General features: G+C 42.0%; 1 protein-coding gene across 8 annotated transcripts in view; it reads right to left on the bottom strand.

The window, feature by feature from the left end:
• Positions 1-17551: 17551 nt before the first annotated feature.
• The window catches only part of TCAF2 (TRPM8 channel associated factor 2), a 109437-nt gene continuing 104163 nt past the window's right edge, over positions 17552-22825 (bottom strand). For 5 of the 8 annotated variants that reach the window (NM_001438663.2, NM_001438662.2, NM_001438665.1 and 2 more), the window contains one exon: positions 17871-20549. In NM_001438663.2, coding sequence (NP_001425592.2) covers positions 20295-20549 — 255 coding nt within the window. In that variant the 3' untranslated portion in view covers positions 17871-20294. Of the gene's footprint in view, positions 20550-22825 lie in introns of all 8 variants that reach the window. The other 3 variants (NM_001363538.2, XM_047420218.1, NM_001130026.3) reach the window with 1 other exon arrangement.

The following is a 22825-nucleotide window of genomic DNA, read 5'->3' as shown; positions in this document are numbered from 1 at the left end:
CAAAGCCTATATTATAGTAAACTGTTGAATATTTCATGTAATTTATTGAGTACTGTACTGAAAATGAAAAATATAATGGTAGCATGAGTACTTGAAATATGGTTCCTACTCAATACGTATCACTTTCCCACCATCATACAGTTGAAAATCTTAAGTGAAACCATTGTAAGTTGGTGACTGTCTGTATTTGTTTATTTATTTTACTACTTTCCCTTTTTCTTGTAATAGTTGAAAGGCATGATAAGGTAAAATATTATTGCCTAAAAATACTCTGCCTCTCTGGAAAATAAAAAAGACAGAAGTTTCCAAGAAATCTTTCAAGAGATATAAAAATCGTATGAAAATGAGATAATTAAAGAATAAATCTGTAATTATGCATGTTGTAAAATACAAATGGGAGGCTGGAAGAGAGACTGTAGATGAGCCGTGAAAATGAAAGCAGAAATAAAGTAGGAATGGAAGCATTCATATAGGAATTGTGAGATATAGTATCTTATTTTTGTTCAACACTAAATAGTTTTCAAGTCTAGCAGAGGACTTGGAAATTTTAAGCTACTCAACAGTGAATCTCAGAGATTTCTTCATTCATCTCACAGTTGGTCTTATATAAATATACAGCTCTGTAATGATTATATGTATCAATTTTTTTTCCAGTCAAGGAGTTTCCCTCCTCATGTTCATTTCTCTGAAAAATACCACTTGGTACTAGATGATGTGAATGGCTGTGATTGAACTGGTTAATTAGGGTAATAGGCTGACATCTTGTTTCAGCAATTAAACAATAAAAAAGATGTTCTTTATTAAGATACGAATCCATTTCTTAAACGAATTGGTTCCATAGATTTCCATAGCATTAACCATGTTGATAATTCAAATGCTTCATCACTGAACAAAAATGCTCAACCTCAGAGACTATCCTTGCATATAAATTTTTTTATTTTCAGTTGAGTATTGGCCAACTCATATCAAACATTGTTCATAGATTTTTTTTTCAAGATGACAATTAGAAGCTTTTAGCATGCCACAGCCACTTGGAAATAGCAAGGCAGTGCATAAAGATAAATACTGTGAGCTTTAATTCAAGAAGGAAAATGGAGATCCACTGGAATTGTGAAGAACACTCCAGATCCTGAGAAGGAGAATGCTGGCAAACAGCCACCATAATGCTGTCCAGCTGAGAAAAGTGAATGAAGTCCCAGCACATGAGAGGTAGAAGCTTCCCTCTGTGACTCACGTTTCCACTGAGGATCAGAGCAATCCAGGCTGAGAGACAGCACTTTGTTTCTCCCAAATCCTGGAGCTAACTTCAGGAGAGGCTTGGAGATGCTGATAGGGACAGACACTGGATAAAGCTACAGGCATTTTCCCAGTCCCAGGACAGAGAACAGGATACCATTTTTAATTTGGGTGCATCTAAAGTCAGCCATTCTTTGGCAACCCAGCAGTGTGGCCATGCAGGCATTTTAGTATTGGGGTAGAGAATGGAGCACCTGCTCTGGATCAGGGTAGGGTCCTCCACAGCCAGAACCATGGAAAATACCTCAACAGTAGGCACGGGAATTGTGCTTTCCCCAGTCACAGGCCTTGGGCAAGAGGAGAGCTGCTATGGCTGTGGTTTCTCCTGGGCAGTGAGACTTTCAGCCAGGGCCAGCCTGATGAACTAGAACTGGTCTGTGTGTGTTATTGCTGGGTGTCCCAGCCTACTTTCCTGAGACTGTGGTGTAGCAGGGCCTTCTCCATTCTACATATAAGCAGATCTCCAAGCATTTAAAGCACCCGCTCTCATGGGCTAGCAGCCTGGGTTGCCCCTTCCTTCCTGTGCAGAGATCCTTGTGCAAGGGGGCCATCTCCACTTCTTGCCCAGGCAGATATCCAGGGATTCAGAGTGCCCATTAGCGTGAATCAGCAGTCTGAGCTGCTCCATTCTTCTGGTGCAGAGATTGCGGTGCAGTGGGACCCTCTCTGCTCCACAGATTTCCAGGTATTTGGAACACCTGCTTGCCTGGAGCAGTAAGTAGCTTGAGCCACCCCATCCTTCCTGCGCAGCGATAGTGGTGCAAGGAGACCCTCTCCACTCCACAACCAGGCAGATCTCCAGGCATCTGGAGCAGCCACTCTCCTGGATTAAGAGATCAGGCTGCCTCTGACACTCCTATGCAGAGAACTTGGGGCCAAGGAGGTTTCCTACCTCCATGCCGAGGCACGCCTCTGGACACTTGGTGGCTGCCCACTGGACTCTCCCTCAGAGCTGGTGCTTGTGCCTATCATTGGGGGACCTGTAGATGGACTTGCCAGGTCCAGCCCTACCCAGTGTTTTTCCAGTAAAGGAGGATCGAGTATATACCCAGCCCCATTGGCTGCAACCTGCTATTACCCATAAGCCCCCATCTACTGGCTTGTAGGTCAAAGTACCCAGCCCAATATAAAACCTGCGGACAGAAGTGCATAGGGTTATGGAAGCAAAGTCAAAAGACCCTACCCAGCATTATCCTCAGTCACATCCTCTAGGGAGAGGAGGAAAGGGAAGGGGAAAGAAACAGAAAAAAAATATATAGGGAAAGGAAGAAAAATAAAAAATCCGAGCTCCGGCTGGCAAGATGGCCAAATAGGAAGAGCTCCAGTCTGCAGCTCCCAGTGAGATCTATGCAGAAGATGGGCGATTTCTGCATTTCAAACAGAGGTACCCGGTTCATCTCATAGGGACTGGTTGGACAGTGGGTGCAGCCCACAGAAGGCGAGCCAAAGCAGGGTGGGGAGTCGCCTCACCCGGGAAGTGCAAGGTGTTGGGGAACTCCCTCTCCTAGCCAAAGGAAGCCATTAGGGACTGCACTGTGACAAATGGTGCACTCTGGCCCAGATACTGCACTTTTCCCACGGTCTTCACAACCCACAGATTGGGAGATTCCCTCCAGTTCCTATGCCACCAAGGCCCTGGGTTTCAAGCACAAAACTGGGCAGCCATTTGGGCAGACACCAAACTCGCTGCAGGAATTTTTTTTTTTTTTCCCATAACTCAGTGGAACCTGGAACACCAGTGAGACAGAACTTTTCACTCCCCTGGAAAGGGAGCTGAAGCCAGGGTGTCAAGTGGTCTGGCTCAGTGGGTCTCACCCCCACAGAGCCCAGCAAGCTAAGATCCACTGGCTTGAAATTCTCGCTGCCAGCACAGCAGTCTGAGCTCTACCTGGGACGCTCAAGCTTGGTCGCGGGAGGTTCATCCGCCATTGCTGAGGCTTGAGTAGGCGGTTTTACGCTCACAGTGTAAACAAAGCCGCTCTGAAGATTGAACCGGGTGGAGCCCATCACAGCTCAGTAAGGCCACTGTGGACAGACTGCCTCCTTTCTGGGCAGGGCATCTCTGGGAAAAAAAAAAAAAAAGCAGCAGCCCCAGCCAGGGGCTTATAGATAAAAAACCCCGTCTCCCTGAGATAGAGCACCTGGAAGGAGGGGTGGCTGTGGGCGCAGCATCAGCAGACTTAAACATCCCTGCTTGATGGCTCTGAAGAGAGCAGCGGACCTCCCAGCACAGCCTTGAACTTCACGCTCTGCTAAGGATCAGACTGCCTTCTCAAGTGGGTCCCTGACCTCTATGTCTCCTGATTGGGAGACACCTCCCAGTAGGGGCCAACAGATACCTCATACAAAAGAGCTCTGGCTGGCATCTGGCAGGTGCCTTTCTGTGACAAAGCTTCCAGAGGAAGGAACAGGCAGCAATCTTTGCTGTTCTGCAGCCTCCGCTGGTGATACCCAGGCAAAGAGGGTCCTGCAGCAAACTCCAGCAGACCTGCAGCAGAGAGGCCTGATTGTTAGAAGGAAAACTAACAGACCGAAAAAAATAGAATCAACATCAACAAAAGGATGTCCACTCAGAGACCTCATCCGAAGGTCCCAACATCAAAGACCAAAGGTAAATAAATCCACGAAGATGGGGAGAAACTAGCACAAAAAGGCTGAAAATTCCAAAAACCAGAAGGCCTGTTCTCCTCCAAAGGATCACAACTCCTCACCAGCAAGGGAACAAAACTCAATGGAGAATGAGTTTGATGAATTGAGAGAAGTAGGCTTCAGAAGGTGGGTAGTAACAAACTCCTCTGAGATAAAGGATCATGTTCCAACACAATGCAAGGAAGCTAAGAACCTTGAAAAAAGGCTAGATGAATTGCTAACTAGAATAATCAGTTTGAGAAGAACATAAATGACCTGATGGAGCTGAAAAACACAGCACGAGAACTTCGTGAAGCATACACAAGTATCAGTAGCTGAATCGATCAAGTGGAAGAAAGGATATCAGAGATTGAAGATCAACTCAATGAGATAAAGGCAGAAGACAAGATTAGAGAAAAATGAATGAAAAGGAATGGACAAAGCATCCAAGAAATATGGGACTATGTGAAAAGACCAAATCTATGTTTGATTGGTTTACCTGAGAGTGACACAAAGAATGGAACCAAGTTGGAAAACACTCTTCAGGATATTATCCAGGAGAACTTCTCTAACGTAGCAAGACAGGCCAACATTCAAATTCAGGAAATACAGAGAACACCACAAAGATACTCTTTGAGAAGAGCAACCCCAAGACACAGAATTGTCAGATTCACCAAGGTTGAAATGAAGGAAAAAATGTTAAGGGCAGACAGAGAGAAATGTCAGGTTACCTACAAAGGGAAACCCATCAGACTAACAGTGGATCTCTTGGCAGAAACTCTACAAGCCAGAAGAGAGTGAGGGCCAATATTCAACATTCTTAAAGAAAAGAATTTTCAGCCCAGAATTTCATATGCAGCCAAACTAAGCTTCATACATCAAGGAGAAGTAAAATCCTTTACAGAGAAGCAAATGCTGAGAGATTTTGTCAGCACCAGGCCTGCCTTATAAGAGCTTCAGAAGGAAGCACTAAACATAGAAAGGAACAACCAGTACCAGCCACTGCAAAAACATACCAAATTGTAAAGACCACCAACACTATGAAGAAACTGCATCAACTAGCAGGCAAAATAACCAGCTAACATCATAATGACTTGATCAAATTCATACATAACAATATTAACCTTAAATGTAAATGAGCTAAATACCTCAATTAAAAGACACAGACTGACAAATTGGATAGAGTCAAGACCCAGTGGTATGCTGTATTCAGGAGACCCATCTCACTTGCAAAGACACACATAGGCTCAAAATAAAGGGATGGAGGAAGCTACCCAGAAAAAAGGAAAGCAAAAAAGAAGCAGGGATTGCAATCCTAGTCTCTGATAAAACAGACTGTAAACCAACAAAGGTCAAAAGAACCAAAGATGGGCATTACATAATGGTAAAAAGATCAATGCAACAAGAAGAGCTAACTATCCTAAATATACATACACCAATACAGGAGCACCCAGATTCATAAAGCAAGTTCTCAGACACCTACAAAGAGACTTAGACACCCACACAATAATAGTGGGAGACTTTAACACCCTACTGTGGATATTAAACAGATCAACAAGACAGAAAATTAACAAGGATATTCAGGACTTGAACTCAGCTCTGGACCAAATAGACATCTACAGAACTGTCTACCCCAAATCAACAGAATATATATTCTTCTCAGCACCACATTGCACTTATTCTAAAATTGACCACATAATTGGAAGTAAAACACTCCTCAGCAAATGCAAAAGAATAGAAATCATAACAAACAGTCTCTCAGACCACAGGACAATCAAATTAGAACTCAGGATTAAGAAACTCACTCAAAACCACACTACTACATGGAAACTGAACAATCTCCTCCTAAATGACTACTGGGTAAATAGGTTCATTTGGTCTATAGTGCAGATTAAGTCTGATTTTTTTTTGTTGATTTCTGTCTGGAAGATCTGTCCAATGCTAAAAGTAGGGTGTTGAAGTCTCCGGCTATTACTACACTGGGGCATATCTCTCTCTTTAGCTCTAATAATATTTGCTTTATATATCTGGGTGCTCCAGTGTTGGGTGCATACATATTTAAAATTGTTACATCCTCTTGCTGAATCGAGCCCTCCGTTATTATATAGTGTCCTTCTTTGTCCCTTCTTATAGTTTTTGTCTTAAAATCTATTTTGTCTGATATAAGTATAGTGAATTCTTCTCTTTTTTTGGCTTCCATTGGCATAGAATATCTTTTTCCATCCCCTTATTTTCAGTCTATGTGTGTCTTTATAGGTGAAGTGTGTTTCTTGTAGGCAACAGATGAGTGGGTCTTGTTTTTTCAAGATAACCTGACTTCAAGTTTATTAGCTCTTTATTCTGCTTGCTCAATTCTGCTATTAAAAGACCCTGATGCATTCTTCAGTATGTCAATTGCATTTCTCAGCTCCAGAATTTCTGCTTGATTCTTTTTAGTTATTTCAATCTCTTTGTTAAATTTATCTGATAGAATTCTGAATTCTTTCTCTGTGTTATCTTGAATTTCTTTGAGTTTTCTCAACACAGCTATCTTGATTTCTGTGTTTGAAAGTTTACGTATCTCTGTTTCTCCAGAATTGGCCCTGGGTGCCTTATTTAGTTTGTTTGGTGAGGTCATGTTTTCCTGGATGGTGTTGATGCTAGTGGATGTTCTTCATTGTCTGGGCATTGAAGAGTTAGGCATTTATTGTCGTCTTCAATGTCTGGGTTTGCTTGTAGCTGTCCTTTTTGGGAAGGCTTTCCAGATGCCTGAAAGGACTTGAGTCTTGTGATCCAAACTGTATCTACTTTAGAGGGGCATCTCAAACCCAGTAACATCATGGTTCTTGCAGACTTGTACAAGTACCACCTTGATGGTCTTGGACAAGATCCAGGAGAATTCTCTAGATTACCAGGCAGAAATTCTTATTCTCTTTTCTTACTTTCTCCCAAATGTACAGAATTTCTCTCTCTCTGTTCTGTGCCACCTAAAGCTGGGGGCGGAGTGGCACAAGCACCCCTTTGGCCACCACCACTATGACTGTTCTGGGTTAGACCTGAAGCCAGCCCAGTGCTTACTGGGTCTCACCCAAGGTCTGCTGTAACCACTCCCTGGCTACTGCCTACATTACCTCAAGGCCTTGGGACTCTACAATCAGTAAATGCCAAAGCCAATCAGGCCTATGCCCTTCCCTTCAGGGCAGCAAGCTCCCCTAAGCCCCAGAAGTGGGTCCAGAATGCCATCTGGGAGTCAGGGACTAGAGTAAAAACCCTTAGATGTCTACCTGGTGCTCTCTTGTATTGCAGCTGAACTGGCACTCTAACCACTAGATGCAGTCCTTCCCACTCTTGCCTCCCCTTTCCAAAGGCAGAGGAGCCTCACCCCATAGCCACCACCACCCAGGCCACAAGGAGTACTGCCAGACTACCACCAAAGTTCCCTTAAAGCCCAAGATCTCTTAAGTCAGCTTGTCATAAATGCTACCTGTCCTGGGACTCCCATGTTAGGGCAGTGGGTGCTCCTCTGGCCCAGGGCAGGTCCAGAAATGCTGTCCAAGAGTCAAGTCCTAGAATTGGGGACCCCGAGAGCCTGACTGGTTCTTTATCCTTCTGTGGCCATGCTGGTACCTAAGGTGCAAAACAAAGTTCCCTTTACTTTTTCCTCTGCTTTTCTCAAGCAGAAGTTTTGCCCCAGAGCCACCGCAGCTAGTAATATCCTGAGTCTCACCTGAAGCCAGCAAGCCTCAAAGGCTCACCCAAGGCCCTTGGTGTAGTACTTGGGTATTGCTGCTGGTTATTCAGGGCCCAAGGGCTCTTCAGTTAGCAGGCGATAAATGCTGCCAGGACTGGGTCCTTTCTTTCAAGGCAGCAGGTTCCCTTCTGGCCCAGGGTGTGTGTAGAAATGTCATCTGGAAGCTAGGGCCTGCAGTGGGGACCTCGTGACTCTGACTGTTGCCCTGTTTTGTTGTAGCTGAGCTGGTATCCTAGGTGCATCACAAAGTCTTTCCCACTCTCCCTTTTCCTACCTTCAACTGGAAGAAAGAGAGGTCTTTCCGAGCCATAAGTTGTGCAGCCTGGGTTTATGGGAGGGTTGAAGCCAGCACTCCCTTAGCTGCCCCAGCTAGTGTTTCTGTACGCCACATGCAGTCCCAGTTCACTGTCTCTGGGCCTAGTTCAGCACCAGGACTCACCTAAGAGTTTCAGTCTTTATGGCCCAGACTGCCTTTCAAGTTTACTTGGAGATACAGAGTGTTATAGCCCTCGGTGGTGAAGTTTGCAGGCACTCAAGTTCTAACTGTTGGAATCAGTGATTCTCCTCTGGCTAGGCCTGGTTTAAATGCTCCCTCTGTGGGTGGGTGTCAGCTGAGTTTGGTCTGGTTTTCCTTTCTGCTCTAACAAGACAGCACTGAGTTCAATGCCTCACAATTGCTGTATTCTTCCTTCCCCAGCACCTAGAGACGCTCTCTGCACCACGCCATGATTGCTGAAGGGTGCAGGAGGGGTGGCATACTTGATTTAGGACTGTTTTTTTTCTATCTCTTCAGTGCTTGTTTCAGCCATATGAAGTTAAAACCAGGTACTATGAGGGCTCACCGGATTTTTGGTTCGTATGAAGGTATTTTTTCTGTGTAGATAGTTGTTAACCTGGTGTCCTTGTGGTGGCAGGGCAGACTATCAATGGAGCCTTCTATTCCGCTATCTTGCTTTGCCTCCTCCCCTCTGGAAAACTAATTTTTAAAAAATCAATTCTCGGCCGGGCACAGTGGCTCATGCCTGTAATCCCAACACTTTGGGAGGCCGAGGTGGGTGGATCACAAGGTCAGGAGTTGAAGACCAGCCTGGCCAATATGGTGAAACCTTGTCTATACTAAAAATACAAAAATTAGCTGGGCATGGTGGTGGGTACCTGTAGTCCCAGCTACTCGGGAGGCTGAGGCAGGAGAATCACTTGAACCCAGGAGGTGGAGGTTGCAGTGAGCCAAGATCGTGCCACTGCACTCCAGCCTGGGCGACAGAGCGAGACTCCACCTCAAAAAAAAAAAAAAATTCAAGTCTCCACTAATTGATGCATATTCTTAAAAAATTACTTAGAATCAAAATCTCAACAGGGTTTTTCATTATTGTAGTTGTTTACTCACTTGTTTTAGTGGAATGCAACAAGCTGGTTTAAAAATTTAAATGGAAGCACAAACAACCAAGAATAATTGTGTGTTCTTGACAAAAACTAAGGTAGAATAATTAGCAAGATTTATTATGAAGATATTACAATAGTATAGCATTGGCATAGAGATGAAGAAAAAAAATAGAAAAGAATAGAGAGCCTGCAAAGAGATCCACACAGATCCAGACTTTTGGCCCCGTAGATGAGGCAGAAAGAGTGAACCTTTCAATGAACAGTGCTATAATTAGGAATCCATATTTTAAAAAACTACAGTTGTATTCCTAGTTCACTATGCCCAAAACTCATTTAAACTTAAAAATTTATACAACTCTTTGAAGATAATATAGAAAAATCTCTTTGTGGAATTTGGGTAAACAATTTTTTTTACTCATGGTACAAATAGTATTAATCATAAAAAAGATTAATAACTTTGACTACTTTAAAATTAAGAAGTTGTGTTTATTAAAATACACCACAAGAAGAGTGAAAATTGGCCCAGAGTGGGAAAAGCTGTTGGCCACACATGTAACTGACCAAGTTTATATATCTAAAACATTGTGACATACAGAAAATCCGATAGAAAAATACACAAGAAAATGGAATGAGCACTTCAAAATAAAAGCAAAAATCAAATGTTTAGTTAATATATGCAAAGCTGCTTAACATCATTAGTAATGAGGAAAATGCAAATTAAAACCACAATAATATATTACTATGCACTCATCACTTTGGAAAAAAAAGTATTTCATAATATCAAGTGTTCCTAAGGATCTAGAGCAATGGAAACTCATATACTCTAAGTGATATGATTTATCTTTGACTTGTCTTTATCTACAGCTTGGTTTTATCTAAGAAGGTTGAAGCTATGCATATTCTACGATACAGCAATTCCTTTCCTAGGGTATGCCAGAGAAACTCTCGCACAGATATACATGTAAAGGATGTTTGTAGTATCAGATAGGCCCCAAATAAAAACAATCAAAAACCAATCAGCAGCAAAATAGATTAACTGATTGTATTATAGTTATATAACTGAGTATTAGGCAGAAAGAAAAATGAAGTAGAGCTACACAAATCAACACAGACGATGTCACAGTATTGCACTAAAGAAGCAAGTCATAAAAGATTACATATAATATAACTTTCTTGTATTCTTATACAGTTTAAAACAAGTTAAAACTAAACTATGTAGTTTAAGTTTGTGCACATAGGTAGTAAAACTAAAGGAGCAAAAGGAATGATCACAGAAGTCAGATTAGTGTTCCATCTGGTGGTAGGAGAGGGACAATGAACTTGGAGGAACATATGGAGGACTTCAATTATTGGCAACATTCTATTTCTTAATCTGTTGCTGATCTGATTGTTCCCTTTCTAATTATTATTTAAATTGTACATATGCTTTTAGATACATTTTTTATGAGCACAGTGTATTTCATTAAAAAAAGAATATTGTTGGGTTGCATCTTCTGACACTAAAAGTAAATTGGTTTGGGAAATTTTTATGGATAACACAAGTAGAGAGCATATTGACCAGTCAATTGCTTCATGGGAAGGGTAACATAAATATCTCTTTTAAATTAAAACCACGGCAAGAGACTGTGTTTGCCACAATGGGAACAATTTCACTGTTTCAACTGGTGATCAGGAGCTGAAAGGTTTTCTAAATGGCCACAAGGGAGAGACAAAGAACAAAGATTCTATGCAGAGGACACAGAACTTAAAATGTCGAGGGTTCATTCAAGATAGGAGTGACTTTAATTCCCTTTAGCAGTGCGTGTTATTCCATTTTAACAATATTTGTGAGCAGTAGGAGCTTTGACGGTCCCATTTAGTGTGACCAACCACTAAGGCTTTAATTTTTTCTGAAACTGTTTCGAAATACTAAGTTTTCAAATAAGTCAGGGACTTTAAGGCATTCAGGGGAGGAAATACAAGCAGGGTCATTTTAAATAAAGGTAGGGTCATCTTTAAGGCTGGTCGCTGTTGCTCATGCCGGCAATCCCAGCACTCTGGGAGGCCGAGGCTAGGTGGATCATGTGAGGCAGGAGTTCGAGACCAACATGGCCAAACCCTGTATCTACTAAAAATACAAAAATTAGCTGGGCATGGTGGCAAACACTTGTTGACCCAGCTATTTGGGAGGCTCAGGCAGGAGAATCACTTGAATGCAGAAGGCAGAGATTGCAGTGAGTTGAGATTTCATGACTGCACTCCAGCCTGGGCAACAGAGCGAGACTCCATCTCAAAAACAAACAAAACCACCACCACCAACAACAACAATAAAAACCCACTTCTTTAAAACTTAAAAGTGACCATTATTATTTCCCTAAAGTATTCTAGGGTGATTTCTGCCTCTTGAAATGTCTCCAGTTTGTTGGGAATTTAGATTTTACAGCTATTGGAGCTAATAACCTATGGGAACGTATGTGGTCCCTTATCCAATGCTTTTAGACATAATGAGAGGAGTTGGGGCATCCTTAAAAAGGATAAAAACCTTGAGTGTAAGACCTGCTTCCTCTAAGACTCCATCAAGCTCTTATTTTGAATCGCAGAATCTTTAAAACCCTCCAGTCTAGGTTGGACACGGTCTTGGTATTGGAAAAAAAATCAATTGTATATCCTGAGCGAAGTGTTCCTTGGATGAATGACCTTTACTGTAAAGTAACTGCTTTTTGTGTAACTAGGAATAACCTGATTGGTTTTGGCAGTTGGACTCTGCTTGCTCTGTGATTCAGTATTCAGACACATAGTCTAATGCAGGCAGAGTTACAGGCGATGGCAGATCCAGTAACTCCATAGGACAGTATGCTGGCTGAGAGTGTGGGCTCCAACTTCTAGGGTTGGAAATGTGGCTTCACAGCTTACTAGTTCTCAGCAAAATGAAGAGTGTAATTGTACTTACTCTGTAGGAATGTTGTGAGCATAAATAAATATAAAAGCACTTAAAACAGTTTCTGAAAAGAAGCGGTTTATTGATGATTCACCTAACTTACACTGATATCCTTGGGAGTAAATGTGGTCTGGAAAATAGATTTTTAGGGTCATTGCTTGAATGGGATTATGAAATTATATAAATGCACAATATATTTTTTGTTATAACTCCCGTCTGCTACAATAATTCACGGAATCTTCCCATATGTAACTTTACTAATTCAAACCTGAATGGTCCTCATTTTAACTACCTGTTCAAATGATTTGTTATTTAAGACAAAAACTATGTGGCTGGGAGTAGACTGCATGATCCTATTAAAAGAAGTATCATTTGTGAGGGTGAATCAGTCTCATGCATTGAATATGTATTTATCTAAGTGAAGCACACAGCTGCTTAGGTTCCAGTCTGCAGACCCAGGAAAGCATTGTTCCAACTGAGTGCCTTACCTAAGTGCTGAGAATTTTTTTTTCATCATTGTGAGTGTCCTTGCATGGCTTGGTTCTCCACAGTGGGGCCAATTACACTGGACTTTAATTTCCAAATCTCCACCTAAGTTTTTCTTTTTTAGCAACAGAGAGTGATATGGCCAGGCTTTGTGTCCCCACCCAAATATCACCTTGAATTGTAATACCTAGGTGTTGAGGGAGAGAGCTGGTTGGAGGTGATTGGATCATGGGGGCCAGTTCCCCCCCATGCTGTTCTCGTGATAGTGAGTGAGTTCTGAAGAGATCCGATGTTTTATTAAGTGTTTGGTAGTTTCTCTCTTGCTCTCTCATCACTCACCTGCCACCATGTAAGACATGCTTGCTTTCCTTTTCGCGATGATTGTAAGTTTCCTGAGACTGCCCCAGGCTTGCAAAATTGTGAGCCAACTAAACGTCTTTCCTTTATAAATTACTCAGTCTTGGGTATTTCTTCATAGCAATGTGAAAATGAACTAATACAGACAGTTAGTTGTTTTAGGGCTATTAAGGGCCTAGGAATAAAAAGCAGTGGCTTTGTTGTTGTTAATTCTCCCCTTCCATCTGTACTGCACAATAAAGATGATTGGGTTTTTTTCAGATTATTCTTGATGAAAAGGACAATACATTCAAGAACATTTTATAAATTTGTTGGTAGCCTAGGAAAAAGAAACAAAGGGATCTTTCTTATTGAATTTTAAAACAGAAATGGCTTATCAAACTGCTCCATTGGGCTGCCTTTGGGTTTATCCTCTTGATATGAGGTAATATGATATTTGAAGTGGTGTCTGGGAAGCTGTTCCTCAGGTAAGCTCTTGGTTACTCCTCAGGGTGAGGACTTTTTCTCTCCATCTGTTACTCAACTTCTTTGTTCTCTAGATCTCCAGCTTGAGAGATAGTTTACAATTTCTATCTTAATTTTTTCTCAACACCATTTTTCCCAACCTATGCTTAACATTGCAAAATGATGCTCTCTCCCTTTATCATCTTGAAGAGTTTATAGAGATGATGGTTATATTTTTTTATGAAAAAAGTTTCTCATGGCTTTCCCAAATGAAAAGTGAATCAGTACAAAGAGTTGTGTGTAGAAAATGTAGGAACTTCTGCAAGCTGAGTACGGGACCAAACTGTCCTCCTACCAGAACTGGGAAGTGCACCAATCTTGCACAAGAAGGCTTTTCAAAATGGAAGCCAGGCATGGTACTAAAGACCTTGCAGCAGGAACAAGTTCATGAAAATAATATCCTGAGAAACGCAATCATGCCATGCCTATAAGGAGATAGCATTGACTGAAAAGTAGCTCTCCTTCTTTGGAAACCTTGACCACATTTAACGTCTTGGCTGACCTGCTGTTCATGTGCTAGCTACGTGCTGCTGAGGCCATATTAGCGGGGGGCACTTTTGATCTTAGATGAATCAGTGTATCAGAGATGTACCTGAGCAATACTCAGAAAGGTCTGGTTTCTATTTCAAAGTTTCTGGTGAAGACAGCCTAGGGGCCTGAAGAAATAACTTATCATAGGAAACTAGGTTAGATTCAAAAGTGGAACAACAATTTGAAGTAGGCTAATAGCATCTTTTTGTTTTCTTCTACAGAAATGGAGACTAACAGATAGATGTACCGGTATGAAGGTGCCATGTATAGGCATCTCAGCTGCCTTGTTTTGGAGCTGGGAGGCCATATAAAATAATTTGAATTTTTTTTAGGGGGGTCTTAATTTGTCATTACTGTTATTGTGGGATATATCCCTGTTCCAGAACCTAATAACATGGCAGAACAGGAAAAATGTTAATTCAAAATGAAAGTATCTACACTGTAGTTAACTTTGGCTGGAAATGTTAGCAGAGGAGAGGAATTGACATCGAAATGTAGTAGAAATAGGGCCCAGGAAATGTCAGATAAATACTTTTTTCACCAAAATACAGAAACTCCTGAAAATAGCTTATACTATTCACTGACCAAGTCCCAAGGAAAAGGAGAAATAAGAATTAATGGAAAATTCACTCTCACAGTGCAGCCTGTTTTCAGAAGCTAAAAATAGGAGAATGGTTCTAATCACACTAAAGCTTCTTTCTGGAATAGTGAAACCATTTTCTTGAATAGGGATAAATAACAGAGGTCTTTTCTTCTTCTTCTTCTTTCTTTTTCTTTTCTTTTTTTTTTTTTTGAGACAGAGTCTCACTCTTTTGCCCAGGTTGGAGTGCAGTGGCACGATCTCAGCTCAGGGCAACCTCCGCCTCCCGGATTCAAGTGATTCTCCTGCCTCAGATTCCCAAGTAGCTGGAATTACAGGCATGTGCCACCACACCCAGTTAATTTTTGTATTTTCAGTAGAGACAGGGTTTTGTCATGTTGGCCAGGCTGGTGTGGAACGCCAGACCTCAGGTGATCCGCCTAAAGACAGCAAACATATACAATAGTTGGAAATCCTCATCTAGTCTTCTCCCATTATCATACACTCTTGTTAGTAATGTGTTAATACAATAGACCCCTACACCAAAACTGATATGTGACAGGCCCTGCCCTTGGGGCTGTAGATACAGCTGTGAATAGGGTAGGTCTAGTCCCTGCCCCTATGAAGCTTCCATGTAGTGGGAAAGAGAGATTTTAAACAAATAATTACAAATGTGATGACTGATATATAAAGGAAGTTACAGGTTTTATCGGAACATGAGGCTTAGAGACACGGCTCGAGGAAATGACCTCTGGGTTAAGAGCTGAAGAAAAAAAGAAAACCTTAAAAATACTGATACCCCAATCCAAAGTAATATAGAGAAGTGCCGTCCCTTCTCCAAGGCCACCACTAGCTCATAAAATGCCTCTGTGTGAATTAGAGAATGTCGCTCTTGCTATCCTGGCTGGCTCAGTGGTGGCACCCCAGTGGCCCACCTTTGTGTGTGACCCAAATGGCACGTCCACAAAGTGTGTCCCTTCTCCACAGGGCAGGTTTTGTTTTATTAAAAATACAACACTAAACACTATTTTACCAAATTTAGCAAATGGAGAAAATATACATTGAAATTATTCACATTTGAAAAAGATTGCAGACCATTCAAGTTTAATTAAGTCCTGGTTAAAGATACTTAAAGATTTAACAGGAAAAAACAAAAAGTGAAAATGTTTTAATTTCTTATGATAAATATAAATGATAAATGAGTCCTCACTCTGAAAATATAACTCTAAAAAAGGACATTTTTCTAGTTGACTTTTGTTGTTGTTCTACCCAAAAGGAAGCCCAAACATCAGAAACTTCTCTATTCTATTGTGAAGTGGAGGGAAGGACAGGTGGAAGAAAGGAATGACCCAGGAGCACAGAACAATCTGTAGAAATGAGAAGGAGGGCCGCATTCACGCTGAAATGTGTGCATCACAGCTGGAATAAAGAAAGCAAGGGATAGAGGTGGGAGGCAAATCTGGAAACACTCGCAGAGACCAAATCATGGAAGACTATGTTGGCATGCAAGCTGTGTTGTAAATTTTAATACAGTTTATATCTATCTTGTTTAAAAGGTGTCATGCTTGCATAGGGTAGAAAACATATGTGGTAGAAATACAATATTAAATTACTAACAAAGAGCTTATAAGAAAAACAACAGGAATCTGCCCAAACCCTACTCTGTCTTTATCTCCCCTGTTTCTCTACTCTTTCAATCCTACTCTCCCTAAGAAATTGTTTCAAAACTTAAAAAAAACAAGTCTTCTACTTCTCTTTTTTTCTTTTCTTTTTTCTTTTTTTTGGACGGAGTCTCACTCTATTGTCCAGGCTACAGTGCAGTGGCGCGATCTCAGCTCACTGCAACCTCCAGCGATTCTCCTGCCTCAGCCTCCTGAGTAGCTGGGACTACAGGCATGAGCCACTGCACCCAGCTAATTCTGCATTTTTTTTAGTAGAGATGTGGTTTCACCATATTGGCCAGGCTGGTCTCGAACTCCTGACCTCGTGATCCACCCGCCTCGGCCTGCCAAAGTGTTGGGATTACAGGCGTGAACCACTGCACCTGGCAAAAGTCTTTTACTTCTATAGGTATAAATAGTAGACTTACACCATTACAATTTTACTACAAAATTTCTAAACATAGGCAAAAGTTGAATAAGGATCCTTCAAGAGCCCCTTCACTTAGCTTCAATAACAAACAACATTTGGCACTGTCATTACCAATTCTCCAGTACCAAAGAAAATGTATGCTTCCCAGTACAGCCAGTAAAAGTCTGTCGTATGCACTTCATCACCCTGGCAAGGGCCACCTTCCCATCACTTGAACCAATCCTTGTTGGAAGGTATGGACAATTAGATGAGCATGGATTCTGTGCCCACTCCTGCCAACAGTGTGGGCCAACCCCTTCCAAACCAAGTGGACTCTGTGTTGATGTTGGTGTACCAAAGGAAACCAAAGGAAAACTGATGGGGCTTTTAGCAAAGCAATTGAGTGGCTCATGGGAGGGAAAAGCAAACCAAACCCATGTCCTGTACAGTAGTGATTGGACAAAAATATACAGTCCAAGGGAAATTATAAGCACTAGTTCCAAAGTGAGACAAGCTACATTCAGTATCTATCCTACTGTTCACAGGACATGTTTTTTTCTTTGGGTTGGTTCCAAGACCATCCAATAATTTTCTTCTAATAATTTTTCTAGACTTAGAACTGTGAAATTATGGAAGTAAATGTCTCAGAAATCATGGATCATCCCTATCACTGGCAGCAAATTAGTTTCTGTGAATAGACAAAAGAATCTGAGAATACTGCAGTTACAATTAACTATCAACTTAAAAACAAGAGGCAAAGTCACAGTCTCTCTGTATGAGAGACAAGGAGCTACAGGCTCCAACTTCTACCAGGAAGTGTGTGTGTGTGTAAGAAGCCAGACATTGTCTCTGTTTCTAGGGCAATCTATTAAACCCAGCAGTATCCATCATTTTACCCTAACATCACTGTTGAGAACACCAGTTCTGCAACCTACAGAATGGGAGAAAATTTTTGCAAGCTACCCATCTGACAAGTTCTGATATCCAGAATCTGCAAGGGACTTAAACAAATTTACAACAACAACAAAAACACATCAAAAAGTGGGCAAAGGATATGAACAGACACTTCTCAAAAGAAGACATTTATGTGGCCAATAAACATGAAAAAAAGCTCATCATTACTGGTCATTAGGGAAATGTAAATCAAAACCACAATGGGGTACCATCTCATGCCAGTTAGAATGGCGATCATTAAAAAGTCAGGAAACAACAGATGTTGGTGAGGCTGTGGAGAAACAGGAATGCTTTTACACTGTTGTTGGGAGTGTAAATTAGTTCAACCATTGTGGAAGACAATGTGATGATTCCTCAAAGATCTAGAACCAGAAATACCATTTGACCCAGCAATCCCATTACTGGATATACACCCAAAGGACTATAAACCATTCTACTATAAAGACACATGCACACATACTTTTATTGCAGCATTATTTACAATAGCAAAGACTTGGAACCAACCCAAATGCCCACCAATGATAGACTGGATAAAGAAAATATGGCATATATACCATTGAATACCATGCAGCCATGAAAAAGAATGAGTTCATGTCCTTTGCAGGGACATGGATGAAGCTGGAAGCCATAATTCTCAGCAAACTAACACAGGAACAGAAAACCAAACAACACATGTTCTCACTCATAAGTGGGAGATGAAAAATGAGAACAAATGGACACAGGGAGGGAAACATCACACTGGGGCCTGTCGGGAGGTTGGGGGCAATGGGAGGGAGAGCATTAGGACAAATATCTAATGCATGCAGAGCTTAAAATCTAGATGATGGATTGATAGGTGCAGCAAACCACCATGGCACATGTATACCTATGTAACAAACCTGCACGTTCTGCACATGTATCCCAGAACTTAAATGAAAAAAAAAAAAGAACATCAGTTCTGGAGTTGAATTTCCTGAGTTCAAATTCCTTCTCTACCCAAGGCTGGATGACCCAAAGGCAGACAAATCACATTCTGAGGCAGGCAGAAAATCAGATACCAACACCTTTTTGGAAGTTAAACTTGTTATTGAATGAAAATTCAGTAGTAAACATTGGAAAAATCCAGACCTGGTTGAACATATTTTCATCTATTTTCTAGGTGACATTTTGTTTAAATTGTAAACCATTCATGAAGAATAAGTTCCACAATGTTTTCATTGCTATGGGCTTCAATTAAACCCTGGTTCTTCCTTTTATTCACTTTGTGACTTCAAAAAACTTATTTTATGTCCCTTAGTGTCAGTTTCCTCATGTACGAAATGGGGATCATACTAGTACCTACCTCAGAGGTCTGCTGGGAAGATAACATTAAATCACTCACAGTAAATAGCTCACGCAATGCCTGGAACATACTAATCACTCATTATGTGTTAGGTGTCATTACTGTTCTTTCCTTTGACAAATACTTCATGAACACCTTTGATGTGTAGAGCCCCTGGCAAAGGGTACTAGAGAAATAAAAGGAAATTATCTAGAATTGGGAATTTGTTAAATATGCTGACGGGATTCAGCAAAAGACATGCCCTAAATTAGTTCTCCTAATGGGAAGCCACTCTACTCTCAACATAGCCTAAGGAATGATATTCAAAACAAACAACAATATGGTCTAAAAGTAAACTGGAGAAAGTAGCTAGGCATACACTCATTAATCCCAGAGACAAATCTCCAATGAGAACTCCCTCTAACCGAAGAGTCAAGATGGGCTAGAATGAGATTAAGAGAAAGCTCAGGGGATGCTGGGGTGTGGGTTGATTAAGTGAGGATTACATCCGCTGCACCCAGTAATCCTGTTCCAGAGTGAAGCCCACTGTGCCTGTGGACCCCCCACCACTTGACAGTGCCTTGATTCCATGGTGACCAGAGGAGTCAGATGCCTGTTTTGTGGTATGAACGAATGGGCATATAGACTTAGTAGCAGCTGTTAACATGACTTTGTCCTTTGGTTGAAGGGCAAAGGGCAAACCCTGGAAAATGAAGCTAATCCCAAAGACCCAACCTCACAGCTCTGTGACACTCAGTTTCAGCACATGCCACTTTTCTTTGGGTTAGGTTATACCCAAGAATCCTTCCAGAAGTGGGAGAAAAAATGTAGAAAGGGCTAAGATACTGCTGACAACTACCATTATTGATACCATGTCTGGGAAAACATTGACATTCTCTAAATATACAAGGACTGAATGCTAACCCCAAGGGGGTCAACACTGAAGTGAGATTCAGCACCCAGGATGTGCACGCTAGACTGGACACCGTTAACAGTCCACTATGGGACCAGGAGAAATCAAACAACAGCTTTGTGAGGAAAAGATTTGTATCCTCATGTCATGGATGTGAAGACAGAAACACAGAGAGGTGGAGTGATTTTCCATAGAACCAAAGCTGGTTTGGGGCTCTCTCCACTATTCCAGCGTGTCTCGCTTGCTATTTGAAAACTTGTTAAAGCATAATAAATTAGAAGCCTTATTCAGGGATGGCAGGGATGAGAAAGGGATATCAGGTTGTTATGGGAACCCGTGGTCTTTAGAGCTATTGGTCAAAAATAGAAGCCTCAGGATGGCAGGATGAAAGATCCTCTCTGGAAGACTAAGAGGTGAAGTGAGTCTCTTGGGGAAAGCAATAGCGTAGGCAGAAAAACAATAAAAAGAAGCACAAGGCACCTTTTACAGAAAGGGGTTCCATTTTTTCTTATGACCGTGGCCACCATCTAGTGGTCAGGCTTGGAAGCGGGATTCAGGCTCCAGATACTGAGCACACGGCCAAAGCCCCATGGTGGAGTTGATGGCGTGACCCTGCCTTTTCTCTCCCGCCTTGTGGGGCATCCTTTACTTCCTGGCACGGAGGTACACTTGCATGGGGTTTTCCTGCCACTCTGGTAGGGAGGCCAGGCTGTCAGCCACCTCCTTCTGGATAGGCCAGCCCCAGGCCTCAAAGAAGGGAACCAGATTCTTCTTCACTTTTTCAGAGAACTTCTTCACCCATAGATTCATCCTGCCAGTGTTGTCTTTGGGGAGGTGAGAGAGGGTCTGGTACTCAGCAAAGAGCTGGGTGAATGGCTCCCACCCGAAGGCCTCTTGGAGCTGAAAAGGGAAAGAAGGAACAGAATGAGGTGTCAAGTTTGCAAAAGTGACGTGACATGTGCGTTCTTAAATATATTTCATTCACATGATCACCTCCCCTCAATCGTTACCTTCATCCTGGGTATGTGCCCCTATCTCCCCACTCTGCCCCTGCACAATAATGCAATCTTGTTGGCTCATTCCTCCTCTTGGCCACAAAACAACACCCCCTGAATCTAGTGGGGGTGCTCAGGGGAAACCTAATGTCTGAATAGAGGTAAATACTCAATAAATGTCCACTATTAGTATCTTTAAACAATTGTCTTCCCAGATCTCAAGTGTTTTCCTCAGCATCAGGACAGGTTTGGGCCTGACTGAGATGAGAAACCCTCACTTCCTACATATCTGGCCTATTGAGATTCTAAAAGCTGCGAACCTCCAATACTATACTTTCCAGACATCATAATAATCCTTATTTTTTAATAGCCATCTTGGACCTGTGGCTATCTGCAATGATACAAAATTGCTCTGTAGAACACTGCATTTAGGGCAGAAAAAGAAAAAAATCCAGCCTGTCTCGAGGGGCTAAAAATGAGAGTGGCTCATACTTCATAAGGGGCAGCTAATGAGAGTGGCTCATACTTCATAAGGGGCAGCTCTCCGGAAAGCCCTTGGCAGAAGGCCCTTGTTTACTAAGATTATACAAATTTCCAGTTAGCGGGGATCTGGGGTTTCACATCCCCACTCTCCCTTTAATAGATGAGCATTCTCTGACTGTAGCTCATAAAAGCCCAAAGACAGATAACACCACCGAAGCCAAGCCTACCTCAGAGTCTCACTGTTGTATCCTTATTATTGCTCATCTGTTCTCACTGGCTTGCTCTTTGACACTTATTAATCAATGCATCAATAAATTAAGCATTTATTAAACGTTTAACATGTATTAGACACCCACACACCGCCAGCTACTGTGCTAGGCAAACATCATTAAGAGCTCTTGTCCTTCTAGAGAACACTGGCCAAAGGGAGAAACACACGTAAATAAACACATTGCTAAAACTGTTGGTTTATCAAGGAGGCGATGTCCAGGAGAGAAAGGGCCAACAGAGCTGAATTTGGACAGGTGACTTGACAGCTAATGGACAAGATGTTCCAGCATGATTCAGCAGCAGGAAGCAAACAAGGGGAGGCACAGAAGCCAAAACAGCAAGCTGTGTCCGTAACCATAAGCAGGTTGGCATGCCGAAGGGTAAATGTGGAGGTGAGAGCAGTAGGAGATGTAGCTAGAGGTGCTGGTGAGGCTGGTCATGAAGGGCCTCCTATGCCCTGCTAATGAGCTTTGACTTTACCCTATATGTGCTAGAGAACACTGTAAGCATTTGATAGACAGAGTATTAACATTATTTTGGAAGGAGTGTAAGGAAGATGGATCATAGAGGATTGAGGCAAGATGCTGGGACAACTTAGAAGGCTACTGGAATACACTGAGGGAAGACTAACGAGGCCTGAGCTAAGGCAGCAGTGGCACGGATGCTGGGGAGAAGCCCTCTAGCAGGAAGAGGAGTCAGAAGGTGCCTGTTTATCCTGAGGCCAAGTCTCAGACTTGGTCTCTCTAGAGCTATTGAGAACTGATATTCGGGGCTCCACAGTGAGTAGGTAGCAGACTAGGACAGAATTAGGGCTTAAACTTACAGTTTAGGGGCAACCTACCATTGTGGTCAGTGGTCCCGTATACCCCCAGACTGGCTATCTAAGGATATGGAAATGAATGCAATACAAAGTTACCTCATTGACTGGGACTGTCTCACATTCACTCTTCAGAAAATTAGTGAAAGGCACAAAAAACTAAGAGAGGGTATGGCAATGCGAAAGCCTGGGGCTTGTCATTACGTCCTGATTTTAAGTTCTAGGTCCTTCACTTAAATGGGGGCTACTGGAGAGATTGCTTAAATTCTTTAAAATAGTGTGTGCCTCTGTGAAAAGTGGGCCAGACAGCTCCTATCCATAGAGCTGTGGGAGACATTGCAGGAGATCTGAAAGGGGAACAACATTGACAACTCGAAAACATCGACATTCAATGCAGGGCTAGGGGAGGGGGCAGGGATTTGTGTTTATTTCACAGGAAGTAGACTTGCTTTATGAATTCAGTGTTCTACTATTGGGTTGACTGGCTCTTCATTTTAAATCATTTTGGCTTCAAGTGGGGTGATGGATGATGAGACCCTTGTTAGCAGATTTGTCTCCAACAATGCCTTCTTATTGTAATGCAGCTGCATTGCAGACACCCTCCGTTATTA

This window comes from Homo sapiens, chromosome 7 (genome assembly GCF_000001405.40).
Source record: "Homo sapiens chromosome 7, GRCh38.p14 Primary Assembly".
NCBI lineage: Eukaryota > Metazoa > Chordata > Mammalia > Primates > Hominidae > Homo > Homo sapiens.
This window is presented reverse-complemented; position numbering and strand designations above follow the sequence as displayed.